General features: G+C 34.9%; 1 protein-coding gene across 21 annotated transcripts in view; it reads left to right on the top strand.

Moving 5' to 3' along the window:
* The window catches only part of ZNF385B (zinc finger protein 385B), a 419,631-nt gene that overhangs the window by 333,201 nt on the left and 71,453 nt on the right, over positions 1–14,977 (top strand). For 17 of the 21 annotated variants that reach the window (NR_148057.2, NR_148054.2, NR_148056.2 and 14 more), the window contains one exon: positions 9,774–9,884. Coding sequence is in view for 14 of the 21 variants with exons in the window: in NM_001352816.2 (NP_001339745.1) it covers positions 9,774–9,884 (111 nt within the window). In the remaining 7 variants the exon portion in view is untranslated. Of the gene's footprint in view, positions 1–5,491; positions 5,531–9,773; positions 9,885–14,165; positions 14,328–14,977 lie in introns of all 21 variants that reach the window. The other 4 variants (NR_148058.2, NM_001352811.2, NM_001352812.2 and 1 more) reach the window with 2 other exon arrangements.

Genomic DNA, 14,977 nt, shown 5'->3' with positions numbered 1-14,977 from the left:
AGTTCCAGGCCAACCACGCTGTGCAGAAACCTGTTAGAAAGGTCTCCAGATGAAAGGTGTCTAGTACTTAGTACTCATCCTTAGAGAACTTTCAAAATGCAGATTACTTTAGTTTACCTTTCTTCTTGGGATTATGATGATGGTGGTAGCTCTGAGATCAGTTGTCTTGCTACTTGGTAGTTGAAAAAATCCTCTGCAGACATCTCACAGACTGACAGACTGTGTTGGAAGCTGAGGAGCGTGTCTCTTAGTCTACAGGTTTTACCACTTGTATGAGTCTGGATTCTGTATCAACTTCTCTAAATCATGGAAGAGTGTTTTTTTGTTTTGTTTTGTTTTTTTGCATATTTGGTATGACTTTACATGTAAAAGTATCTGAATTACAGTGGGTATCAAGGCAACAAAAATGTGTTTTTAAAAATTTTCCTGGTAAAATATTGTTTCTTTCCCATTCTTCTATTTTATTTTATTTTTCAATGCTACTTACAACCCTCTGAAAATACCTTATTTATTATGTTAGAGATTTGGGTCTGGGTCTTCCCAACTAGAATGTTGGATATTTGAAAGCCTATTCTCCACTGTATGTCAAGCTCCTAAAACAATGTATGATAGGTACTTAATAAACTTTTATTATGTGAATAAAATTTCAAGAAAAATATAGTAAATATATAAACAAATTGGAAGTCATACATTTATAAATGTGTAATATGTTGAAAAGGAGCAAAAATTCCTAAGGAGAGAACTGAATATTTAAAGTTGATATGAAACCCTTACCTCTGAAAGAGTTGCACTTCTTACAACCAGAGTCATCTAGAAAAAGGACATTATTTTATGACAGAAACCCCAAAATAAAATGAAGATGAAATTTCTCCAAAAAAAAAAATGACCAGAAAATACAGAGTTCAGTCTTCTTTTCAAAACAGATCTTCAAGATACATCACAGGATTTTTTTTTTCTTGACTTTAGTCATCCTTTCTGTCAATGGAATATACAAATATTGTTTGGTGAATCCCAGAGCTTTTCAAAGGAGACCTAACAATATGGAATTAGAGTGAAATATATCAAGCTTTCTAAATTCATAGTTTAGAAAACAGAGGAAAAAAATGAAATGCTATTCTGTACTCTACTCTGATAGGCTGCCTCATCTCTGGGCTGACTCCCTTGTGTTTTCTATCGGGAATATATACTGCCATTAAGGAAGCCCTAGAAAATTGGGAAAAACTGAAATCCTGGGGTCCTGCTTAATTTCAGCAGCTATTAGATGTTGCCTGTAGTCAACCAGCCTCAAAATACTTAAAAGCCTGCAACATTTTGATAAAATAGTAGTAGTAGCAATAGTAATGAAGCTTCACTGGATCCAGGACTTAGATGTAATGTAACCTGTCTGTTAGTTTCTGAAGTATGTGTTGTGTTGTTATTGCCTTTATAACAGTTCTGAGTGACTGGTTAACTTTCTGCCTGGGTAGTTGTATCCCAGTGAAAGAGGGGACCAGTTAATGTTGCAAGCCACAACCAATATGTGGTTTCAGCAAAGAGCTGGGGATTCTTGAAGAAACCATCTCCCCAAACATTTGACCCTTGGTTTAATAAACGGTTTGTGGAGAGAGTGACATGCCATTCATCTTCCTTTCAGCAGAACTGATAGCATTCAGGTGGACCCTTGTCAGGGTGCTCTGGGTAGGAGAAGCAGTGTCAGCAAGGCAAGCCTCAGCTTTTACACGCTCCAGATGCAAACATGCAGATCCCATGGTGCATGCACTCCCTGTGTAATGTTCTATTTACTGTATTTTTTTTTCTTTATTTCTCTTTTTTTCTTGAGACAGAGTTTCGCTCTTGTTGCCCAGGTTGGAGTGCAATGGTGCAATCTTGGCTCACTGCAACCTCTGCCTCCTGGGTTCAAGCGATTCTCCTGCCTCAGCCTCCCGAGTAGCTGGGATTGCAGGCATGTGCCACCATGCCTGGCTAATTCTGTATTTTTTTTTTTAGTAGAGACAGGGTTTCTCCATGTTGGTCAGGCTGGTCTTGAACTCCTGACCTGAGGTGATCCGCCTGCCTCAACATCCCAAAGTGCTGGGATTATAGGCGTGAGCCACCGCGCCTGGCCATATGGTGTATTTTTAATGAGCCTTCTGAATTGAAATCCAAAATAGTACAAAGTTCTATAGTTCCAGCCTGGGCAACATGGTGAAACCCTGTCTCTACAAAAAATTAGCTGGGTATGGTGGCACATACCTGGAATCCCAGCTACCCAGAAGGCTGAGTTGGGAGAATCACTTGAGCCCAAGAGGCAGAGGTTGCAGTGACCCAGACTGAGCCACTGCACTCCAGCCTGGGTGACAGAAGAGACACTGTGTAAAAAAAAAAAAAAAAAAAAATCTGTGGTTAAACTAGTGTTGCCAACAATATGCAATCATTTGTATTTCTTGATCTTTAAGAGAAAAAAATTATCTTTGTTGTTGCTGTATCTGTTTTCTTTCTATTGAAGTTTTCAAGGATTTTTAAAAAGTAAAACATCAACATAAAAGCATATGGTCAGAGTCTTTAAATATGAAAGACAAAACCCATTTTAAAGTAACTTTAGAGAAATATTGCTCTTTAGCGACACAGCTATCACTTAAACATGTTCTTTCATGAATATTTGAAGTTCTGTTGAGACCCTATGGTCACATCCTTTCCCATAAGGCTGATATTCAAGAAGGAAGGGATAAAAAATAGTTATTCTCTTTGTACTACTGTAATAATAATAACGATACTGATAATAATCATGTCTGCCTCATGTGATGATGGAGACTGTAATACCACAATATCACAGTTTAAAAGTTGATACTTAGCCAAACTTCCAGAAGGCCCAAAGTCACAAGGGTTTGTAGCTGCGGTCTGCTTAGCAGCAAATCAAGGACAGGTGCAAATGATGACTGCCACTTGCAAACACGTAATTTCTAAATATTCCCAGGACTTTTTTTTTCTGTGTGCAAACCCAACAGTTATAATGAGGAAAGAGGACAGGACAGCCCAAATTTTTATTTATGGCTTTCCTGAAGTTGCACAGGAAGTAATGGGCTTATCCTAAGAATATGAGAAATAGGTCAGAAAGACAAAACCTAGACTCGCTTTTCCAGAAAACTTTTCCTTAAGCACCTTAGGTTTGTGTAGGCAGCAACCTTCCAGACTGCAGAAGTTCCAGGAAGTCTTATCCATTCTTCTCCAAACCCATACCCTTTAGCAGTGCGATGCAATACACTCATGATTCTGGCAGTGTTTCTTTAGCAGGGAACAATGTTGGGGGAGATTCCTACCTGTGTTTGAATGCCGACCTATGAACTTGAGGGTGATTCATTATTGAACCTCTCAAAGCCTTTGATTCCTCGTTTGTTAAAGGAGGATAATAATCATGTCTGCCTCGAGTGATGATGGAGACTACAGGAGGTAATTCCTTAGTATAGTTCCCAGCAAACCTCAGTAAATCAAAGCTCCTCTTACAATGATGTTTATTATTGTTATTACACAGCTAGAAAAAAGAAAAAGAAAATACCCCTGGGAGAATAACACATGGATGTCACTGTCAGAGGGGAAAAAAAACCCAAAGTATGGGTGGGGGAAGAGGAGACAGACCTTTTTGTGCCTCTCATGCCTCATTGTTTTGCTTAATGGCAACTTCTTTTCCCAGCCTCCAATTGAGTAGAGTTTGTACTACCTTTTTCACTTTTTAACTTTTTAAATTATGCCCTTTTTTGTGTTTTACTCATTTTCCTATCCAGTCTGAGACAGCATCTAAAACATATTGGACCTCTAGAAATATTTGCTCGATGGCTGACTTTAAATTTTTTTTTTTTTTTTTTTTTTTTTTTTTTTTTTTTTTTGAGACGGAGTCTCGCTCTGTCACCCAGGCTGGACGGCAGTGGCACGATCTCGGCTCACTGCAAGCTCTGCCTCCCAGGTTCACGTCATTCTCCTGCCTCAGCCTCCCGAGTAGCTGGGACTACAGGCGCCCACCACCACGCCCGGCTAATTTTTTTTATTTTTAGTAGAGACGGGGTTTTACCTTGTTAGCCAGGATTGTCGCTATCTCCTGACCTCGTGATCCGCCGGCCTCAGCTTCCCAAAGTGCTGGGATTGCAGGCGTCAGCCACCGTGCCCGGCCGACTTTAAATTTTAAAAGTAAAGAACCTGATTTCTATTTCTGTTTAATAGAAGAGCTACCAGGGCCTACTATACTGGATAAGTAATAAATGCCTACCAAATGCTTTTTAGAACATTGGTTAAAATAGTTCGTTAAGTTTAAGGTAAGATTTCCCCATCTTTACAAATAGTATGGGCTGGGCAGGGTGGCTCACGTCTGTAATCCCAGCACTTTGAAAGGCTAAGGCAGGAGGATCACATGAGGCCAGAAGTTCAAGACCAGCCTGGGCAACATAGTGAGACCCTGTCTCTATAATAAATAAATAAAAATTTAAAAAAAAACTTAGCTGGGCACAGTGGCACATGCCTGTAGTCCTAGCTACTTGGGAGGCTGAAGTGAGAGGATCATTTGATCCTATGAGTTTAAGGCTTCAGTCATGCCACTGCTCTCCAGACTGAGCAACACAATAAGTCTCTGAGAATAAAATAAATAGTACAGATAAAAGAAAGTCCTGTACAATTCTCGAGTGGTCTTTTTGTTTCGTAATGGGGGTGATGCCCAGTTCCCATCCCAGTGTTACCTGATGGCTAGTTAAATCCTTTTAAGACTCTTATAAGAATAGAACTCAAATTTCATGCCTCTTGAAAAGTACTGGGATAGTTGAACAAGTTTATAATTCTATTTTCTCTGCCTAAAGTCCCATGTAGCAGAATTTTCTAGAGTCTAAATATAATCTAGTATTATGTCAAGTCGCTTGAGCACACAGCCCCCATCTTAGATTCATCCTACCTTTAGTGAAGTGCTGCAGTGTGTTTATTTTCCCTGTGTCTAGGTTTCACTTGCAGCTGCATATTTTTATATGACTTTTTACACTGTGGAGATGTAAATTACTTTTTGGTTTACCCAGAGAAAGTAATGCTCTTTAAAAAAAAAAAAAAAAAAACGCACACAGATTTGTAGTCTCTGTAATCTTGAAGACACCAAAAAAAAAAAATTGTTCTTATTTTGATATTGAAAATATGATAGATGATATAAGGCCAGCTTCATTAATTTGTTTTATAAGTACTACAGTATAATTGTTAATTTGTCTGTACATGGCCTCCAATTACCTCCTCAGTTCCTGGTAACAGCTGCAACCTCATCTTTCACTTTTATTACCTACCAGTTAATTGCACTAATAGGTCTTGCTTTTCATTTCTGCATGATTTTCATTAGAAAAAGTGGCAAGTGTTAACTTTTGCTGCCTTTTAGTTAGTGTTTCAGGCTTTTTACTCAAAGAAAAGCAAGGAAAATGGGTCTTTAAATTTTCATGTAATTGTGCTTCCTAGCCTCAAAATTCCAGATGACTGCTTCTAACTTTTACTTTTTTAGAAAAGAAGAGGCTTATTTGAGACCAATAAATTTTGCCAGGTAAGGAATATTGGTAGCTAGATCTATGTGATAGGGTATTTTTTTCTTTAAAAAAGCATCTTTAGTATTATTTCCTAATGAATTATACTTTTCTCAATCCATAGACAGCTTTATTTGCACAATGTGAACTAACATGAGCTAATTTAATATGACTACTTAATAAGACATTTGTTAATGTAAAAGATATATTATAAACATTTAAGAAATATTTTTGAAAGTACTTGTTCATTTTTAACAATCGAATGTCTATAAAATGCCAAATGAATCTTTAAAAATCAGAATTTGTTATGTAGTTGCAGTACCTCCAGTAATTTTTGAGTAGTCTACACATGAAATCATTATGATATAGAACATAGTTTTGACTGTACTAAAATGAGTTACTTGCATTTATCACATTTTAAGATTTATGATAATGTTTTTATTAATCCTGAACTTTTTATTCATCCTGAAACTTAGTGATAGAATAAAAGAATTATCATCGATTTAGTTACATGCATCTCATTATGACTACAGAGAACTAGTAATGCACTAGCAAAGGAAAAAATTTAAGTTAACATAAATTAACATCATAGTTATTTTATCTAGCTTTTAGAGCATTGTACTAATGCTGAGAACAAAAATTGAGAATTTTACCACTTTATACTTTTTAAAAAGGTATCTGAAAGCCCTCTTCATTACTGTCACATTTGGATCCCATTGAAATGACTCGAGTATTTGTAGTTATTGCATCAGAGGGCAAATACTCAAAACATTAGCTTGACAGTGTCTGTTTCAAAATCAGATAAAGTGACAAGTGGGGCATTCTTTTTTATTCCAATTAAAGTCTCTATTCAACTAAATCATCTAAATCATGTCCCCCAAAATGACATTTAAATATAAAAATATAACTATAGAATTTAATAATAAACAGCAGAAGAAGAGATTTAGACTAGAAGAAAAAGTGAATCTTTTCCAGAAACCTTAAGGAAATACAGAATCAAGAGGAAAATAAAGGAAATCTGTTCCAAGTGAGACAGATGGGGGTACAATCTTGATACAATTAGTGATAAGTTATCCAAAGGATGAAAAGGCAGAAAAAGTTAATGACAAGTAGCAAAGAAAGTGTAAAAGGGCTGTGCTTATTTAGTTGATTTTATGAGAAAAATTAGGATTACATATATAAACTGGAGGAGCCAATTCTGAGGAGAGTTTCATGAAGGAACCTTCTTAATCTGGTGCTTTTTAGAGAGCAGATGGATGGAAACTTGCCTACCTTTCTATTTGGAGTGCTCAGTCTCAACTTACCTTTCAGGATGGAGAGCTCTCAGCCTTGGGGACACAAAGGCATATTTTCAGGCCAATGTGGTGCAAATGTGAGATTTGGGCAGAATAAAACTATTAGGGGCCGGGCACAATGGCTCACACCGGTAATCCCAGCACTTTGGGAGGCCAAGTCAGGCGGATCGCCTGAGGTCAGGAGTTCGAGACCAGCCTGGCCAATATGACGAAACCCAGTCTCTACTAAAAATACAAAAAAAAAAAAAAAAAACTGGCCAGGTGCGGTGGTGGGTGCCTATAATCCCAGCCACTCAGGAGGCTGAGACAGGAGAATTGCTTGAACTCAGGAAGCAGAGGTTTCAGTGAGCTGATATCGCACCACTACACTCCAGCCTGGGCCACGGAGCAAGACTCTGCCTCAAAACAAAAACAAAAACAAAAACAAAAACAAAAAAAACTGTATTAGGAGTTATGTAAAAAATTATGTAGGCAGCTAACAATTTTTAAAACTTAATGGGAATATTTATTTTCAAAGATTTTTTTGGAGATGTCAATAGATACAATAGTCTACTAAGAACTTGAAACTAGATATTCGTAAATGTATCTTTTGTCTTTCTATGTTTGGGCATGGAAACAGCTAGGATATGTGGATTCACTTTGAGGAAAGTTTTAATTTTGATGTTAATTTCAATGTATTTTTTGAAAGGAGTAATAGGAAAGTGTACATTATTTCTATGATTTATTGTTTAAGTGTACTTCAATTTGATTTAAAGAAAAATATTAGTGTATGGATATGGCAAAAAATAATGAAAATAGCATGCATAAAACCGGTATTTAGGGAATATTCATATAGTTTAATCCCATGTAGTTCACATATCACCAGATGGGAAGTATTTTTCAGAGCCTGAGATCAGAAACTATCTCAATAAAATGCTCTTGTTTTTTAACTTTGCAAAACAGTGGGCTTCTTTCATCCTGCCAAGATAAGTTAGCCTGTTTTATTTTTAAGCCTGCATAAACTGATTCGCCATGTCTGGTAACTGTCAGAAAGTATAGTTTCCTATTTTGCAAATAGATAGATGGGATTTAAGTATTTGTGTTTGTGAATAAAATAAGAAAGTGAACTAGGAATTTATTTTCTGACCTTTTGAGATTTTCTTTGTCACATAGTTTTTTAAATTATTATTCTCATTGAATAAAATTTAATACAATCAGTTATGACCTTCAACAGTATGAATCCCTAGATTTTCCAGTAATGATATGTTAGATTTAGTAGTTAAACATAATAATGTTAAGAAGGTTTTTCTTTTTTACTTATTAAATTATAATATATAAAATTGACCTTTTGAGGGGGAAAGGTCTATGAATTTAATATATGTATAGATTTGTGTAACCATCACATTATAGTTAGGCTATCTCTCCAGAAAACTCCCCTCTTAGCATTTTTTTTTTTAAGATGGAGACAGGGTCTTGCTGTGTTGCCCAGTCTGGTCTCAAACTCCTAAGCTCAAGTGATCCTCCTGCCTCAGCCTCCCAAAGTGCTGGGATTATAGGCATAAGCCCCTGCACCTGGAACCCTCTTAAAATTTTTAAGTGTCCCAAATCACCATAACTGTTCTTTATAATAGGAATACATTGTCCTGTCATCTTTCTTGAAATTGTAGCCAAAAAATAGATTAATTTATTATTCAATAACTCTTCAATCCACTTGCCTTTCTAATGTATTTAGCTTCTTCTAATGGCTAATTTTGCATTTTGTCGATTTATAATCATGATCAGAGATAGTATTCATTTCTCCTCTCTATCAAATATCATCAACTAATCCAATCTTAATCTCTAACCTCAGGAGATTTCCTAGACAATGGTATCAATAGATCTGTCCTCATTCATATTACATCTGTTATGTAATGTTTTGCTCATCATCTGCATTGTTTTTTGAACTACCAGTTGTCTGATGTAAATGTTGGAGATTATTATCTGGAGTACACAAGAGAATCACTGCTGTGTCTCTTTTCATAGGCTCTGCAGATCTAGGTGTTTCTTTTCCTGAGTGTTTTAATGACTATGTGCCATACTTTTTCTGTTGGAGTACTTGTATCACTGTATATTTCTCTGAATATATATAATACATGCAAGCCAAAAGGGGAAAATCACAAGCTATAAATCAAAACTTTACTTGATTAATATTTAACCAAGGGTTGCATGTCAGCCAATCTATTTTAGGCATTTAAGTGTACAGTTCTGACATGCATTTTCAGTAGAATGAATTTCAGTCTATAGCACATGAAAGTTAACAAATTATTTTAAAATATATATTCAGTCAATACTTTCTGTGCTCTGATAAGAGCCTGTCATTTATGACTTTACCATAAATCAAAAATTAAGAAGCATAAATATATGTGTAATAATTGTCATTGACATCATTTGAGGCCATCTTAAGTATTGTTGCCTCATACAGGGAAAACATTAACATTTTTAGCTGGGCATAGTGTGGCACATGCCTGTAGTCCCAGCTACTCGGGCGGCTGAAACAAGAGGATCACTTGAGCTCAGGAGGTTGAGGCTGCAGTGAACTATGATCACGCCACTGCATTCCAGCTTGAGCAACAGAGCAAGATCCTGTCTCAAGAAAAATAAAAGTTAATTTTAACCTTGACCTTTGGATCTTAAGTTTTCTTGTTTTATGATTCTTCTAAGGTTTTTCAAGGCTCCTTCTAGAGACATTAGGTTTCTGGAAATATGGTGATTCTCTCGTGGTTTTTTCTGAGTTATGTTTTCAAAGCCATTTTTTGTTTTCATTTTTGTCATTTGTTTTTGTTTTTAATTTTTGGAGACAAATATATTACTGTTGAAGGAGACTCTTTATTATCTTTGTTTAGGAACTAAAAGTTTAAACTTTATGGAATATTTCAACTACTGTTATTTGCTCACACTGTTGTCTTTTCTTTGAAGTTACAAATTGACTATTTTTTCATTTGTTCTTCAGATGGATCCTGTGCAAAAAGCGGTTATTAACCATACATTTGGAGTATCCATTCCCCCAAAGAAGAAACAAGTTATTTCTTGTAATGTCTGTCAGCTTCGCTTTAACTCAGATGTGAGTATCACCTTTTCATTATTCTCTGTAGTTTGTCAGAGCTAAAAGTCTGATTGATCTAAATACGTACATTTCTTCATATTTACATACTGTAGCAGCCACTCCTATTGGTAGCCCACTAATTTCAGGATGCCAGATTTCCAAAGGATTTGGGTTCAATGCCTAAAACTTGAACAATAGAGTATGGTTGGCCCTCTGAATCCACAGGGTCCATATCCATGGATTCAACCTAGATCACATCGAAAATATTTTTTAGAATAACATTACAACAATAAAAAATAATACAAATTTTAAAACCAATAGAGGATTATAGACAATAGTCTATAAGTGGCTAAGATCAAAAATTAAGAATTTATCTATGCAATCAGTCTCAACTATACCATTTTACAATTAATCTCACTAATTATATTCACTTGTCAAAAATGCTTGAATATCAGAAAATATGAAAAAAGTTTTAAAATGCAATGAAGAGATTTTAAAAATTAAAATGCAATAAATGTGGAAGAAAACCATTTTTACTATTTGATATCAATTGCCACATTTCATGTTTGTGTCAAATTTTGTTAAATACCTAAAAGAATTACTAATTTCCTATATTTTTCCCAGAACATAAAATATAGAGAAAGTTTCATAAACTATTTTATCTGTCAAGCATAACCATCCTGCTAAACAAAGATAACAAGAAAATGGAACAAATCACTCTCTTTTATGAAAATGGGTTTTTAAATTTATAAACAAAATAGCAGGAAAGCAAAATAAACAATATTAGAATATTTGCAATATCCAATTACCAAGTAAAGCCAATGACCGATGTAAATCAGAATCCGAAGGCTGCATATAATATGTGGTATTTCCTGAGTTACTTGACCCCTGTAGCCATTTTGCAAAGAGCTTGTTACAGAATTAATGTTGTTTAGAAATACTAAAATAATAATCTCTCTTGTTTGCATATACCATTAAATTATGTTTCGATAATTCTACATAGGAAGCATAATAAAAAATCATAGTCATTGGAAAAGAGATGTTTATCATGATTTATGAAATTATATTTAATATAATTTTAATCAAAAGTCCAATGAATTTTTTGGTACATGATAAAACTTCATGTTCAGGAATCAAAATGTACCTAAATAAACTGAGAAATATACAGTGTTAATTCATTTGAAGTCTTAATATTGTTAAGATGTTAGTTCTTCCCCAATTGATCTATAGATCCAGCACAATCCTGATCAAAATCTCAAAATGTTTTTTTATTATGGAAAATGGCAAGCTGTTTCTTAAATATACATAGAAAAGAAAAGCCCTAGAATAGTCAAAACATTTTTTTAAAGGTCAAATTTTGAAGACTTAATGCTTCCTGATTTTAATACTTACTCTAAAATCTACAATAATCAAGACTGTGAAACTGGTGAAAGAATGGTAGACACATGGATCAATGGAACAGAACAGAGTCCAGAAATAGACTCACACCAATATAGTCAGTTGATTTTCAACAAAGTTGCAGAGTGAATTCAATGAAGAAAGGCTAATCTTTTCAACAAACAGTGCTAGAAGAAGTACGTATTCATATGTAAATTCAAAAAACGCCTTGACTACTACCTGATACAAAACATAAAAATTAATTCAATAGGATCATTCATAAAATAAAAACTTTAAAAAAACTATTAAACTTCTAGATGAAAACAGTAGAAAATCTATTTGGCTTTGCATTAGGCAAAGATTTCTTAGAAAATAAAGAAGTGTGAATATTGATATATTGGACTTTATCAAAATTTAAAACTTCTACTCTTTAGAGACACTTTTACACTGTTCAGAAAATGAAAAAACAAGCTATAGACTACTAGAAAGTATTTGTATCTGCTTAAGAAATTGCATACAGATATAAATAATTTATAACTCAATAATAAATGATAAAATGGGAAAACAATTTTAACAGGCATTTTACCAAAGAAGAAATATGAATGATGAATAAGCACATAAAAAAATGCTCAACATGTTTAACGATTAAGGAAATACAAAGTAAAACCAAAATCAGATAGCACTACACCTATTAGAATGGTGAAAATTAAACAAATTGATAGGATCAAATGGCTAGGATGAGGAGCAACTGGACCTCTCATACATTGTCAGTGAGAATACAAAATGGTACAGCCACTTTGGAAAACAATTTAGCAATTATTAATAAGAAACTTTATAAAGTTGTACATACGTTTCCCATATGATCCAGCAGTCCCACTTCTAAGTATATCCCCAAGGCAAATGAAAACATATATTAATCCATATGTGCTGCTTAATTTTATTCATAATTGCCCAAAACTGGAATTGACCCAAATGTCCATCAACTGATCAATAAACAAACTATGTTAAAGCCATACAATGGAAATAAAGAAATAAAAGTAAATAGAAATAAAGTAAAAGTAAAAAGAAAGTACTGATACATGCTACAATGTGGATGAATCTCAAAGACAGTATGCTAAGTGAGAGAAGTAAGACACAAAGACTATATGCCATTTGATTGCACTCGGATAACTTTCTGCAGAAGATGAAACTATGGGGATAGTCAGATCAGTGTAGTTAACAGGGGCTAAGGGTTAAGTTAGGGAATTGACCAGAAAGGGAAATGCAGGAACGTTTTTGAATGATGAAAATATTTTATAACTTTATTGTTGTGATGTTTACATGACAGTCTTTGTTTTTCAAAATTCATTAAGCTGAATACCTGAAAAAAATTTTACTATATATAGAGTATACCTTAGTAAACCTAACTAGAAAAAAATTAATGATATGAGCCACAAAATATTTTATAAATAGGAGACTAATTTATGATAGAGATATAACTACTAAAGTATATTAAACTACAATTTTACTACTAGAATGAAAGTATGATAAGACTTTTGTAAGAATAGACACAATAATAAATACTGAAATAGATTCAAGTAAATTTTACAGTATTGCTCAGTTATTGTTCAAATTTTTAGAGTTATACGGAGAAATTAAAGTCTGTTGTTATATAAATATGACATGAAAATGTTTACTACTTACCTGACCACTTATAAAACAAATGCCCACCTAAAGACATGCTGCATCTTTAACACTGGCATTCTCAGTGCCATAAGGCCAGATGCTTGAAAACATCTCTCAGTACAATGCAAATAATAGATTTCAGAATTAAATTGCAAAAATCGTGCAAAAGATGCACCATTTTATGAAGTCCACTAATGTAATAGAGAACTGCTTGGTTTAAAGCCACTCACAAATAAGGATTTGCCTATTAGAAGAGTTAATTTAAGAAGAGTAAAATAACAAGGTTGATGATAGATAGATTCTTCAAAACAAGAGATGTTGAACACTGACTGAATAATAGGGGTTTAGGGACAATTATGAATCTCTCAAATTAAAAAATAACATATTCATAGTTCAAAATCATGATAATATTAAAAAACATATTGAGGCTGGGTGCAATGGCTCACGCCTGTAATCCCAGCACTTTGGAAGGCCGAGGCGGGTGGATCACTTGAGGTCAGGAGTTCGAGACCAGCCTGACCAACATGGTGAAACCCTGTCTCTACTAAAAATACAAAATTAGCCAGGCGTGATTGTGCACACCTGAAATCCCAGCTACTTGGGAGGCTGAGGCAGGAGAATCGCTTGAACCCAGGTGGCAGAGGTTGCAGTGAGCTGAGATTGTACCATTGCACTCCAGCCTGAGCAATAAGAACAAAATTCCATCTAAAAAAAAAAAAAAAAAACCACCACACATTGAAAAAACTATCCCTTTCCTCATCTTCCCAACCTCCATGTCATTCCCTATTTGTAATCACTTTAATTTTTTTGCATATCTTTATATCTTTCCAGGGCTTGCTTATGCAAATATAACTAAGTATGAATACATATTATTTCTTCCCTTTTCTATGTAAATGGTAGCATACTATTGACACTCTTCTTTGCCTTGCATTTTTTATGTAACAATATATGCTGAAGAATTTTTTTCTATCAGAACATAGCGAGCTCCCATACTCTTTTTATAGATGTGGTAGGCAAAGATGCCCATATCCTAATTTCTGGAACCTGTTAATATATCTTACATAGCAAAGCAGAATTAAGGTAGTAGATGGAATTAAGGGAGCTAATATTCTGACCTCATGATAAAAGGATTGTCCTGGATCATCCCATGGTCCCAAGGTAATCACAAGGTCTTTAAAAGTAGAAGAGAGATGCAGAATAGGCAGTCAGAGTGATGCTATCTGACAAGGAGTCCACTGGCCATTGCTGGCTTTGTAGGGGAAGGAAGGAGCCGCAAGCCAAGGAATGTGGGCAACCTCTAGAAGCTGGAAAAGACAAAGAAATGGATTTTCCCTTAAAGCCTCCAGAAGGAATGCAGCCCTGCTGACACCTCGATGTTAGCCCAGTGAGATCCATACCAGACTTCTGACCTCCAGAACTGTAAGATAATAAGCTTTTAAGCCACTAAGTTTATAAAAATTTGTGATGAAAGCAACAGAAAACTAATACAGTAGTTTATTTGTGCACGTTTCATAGTTTAACTCATCCCTTACAGGTGGACACTTAAATTGGTTCTCATCTTTTGACATCTCCTAGATTTTCAGTCAATAAATGGCAGAGCTAGGACATAAGTCTGGATCTCTTGCCTCTAAATCCACAGCTCTTCCTATTATATTATGTTGCCTCACAAAACTTTACTCATTTCCTAAGCATTTACTGAACTCCTCCTGTATGATAAGCACTTTGCTAATCTCTACAATGTGGCCTAAAATGAACCACATGATCTTTGGAAGGACCATTGAAGTTCCATAATTAAAAATCATTTCCACAGTACCTCTGTCAGGAGGATAGGATATAAACATCTCCGTCTTACAAGTCAACAGCTAAGACCCAGAAAGAATGACTATGAATTTTGTTTTTTATTTGTGTAATGGGTTGGGTTGTGGAAGGCATAAGAATTTCTTTCGAGCCCCACAATTACTCCAGGAGTACATCCACTTTTGTCTTAAGCTCCATTTGATGTCAGCCATTTTCTTTGTACTTACTAATAGGGATGTGGACATATGTGCACACATAAGCATATGACCAGC

Source organism: Homo sapiens, chromosome 2 (assembly GCF_000001405.40).
Source record: "Homo sapiens chromosome 2, GRCh38.p14 Primary Assembly".
Lineage (NCBI taxonomy): Eukaryota > Metazoa > Chordata > Mammalia > Primates > Hominidae > Homo > Homo sapiens.
The sequence above is the reverse complement of the archived record's forward strand: the minus strand, read 5'-3'. Positions and strand labels throughout refer to the sequence as shown.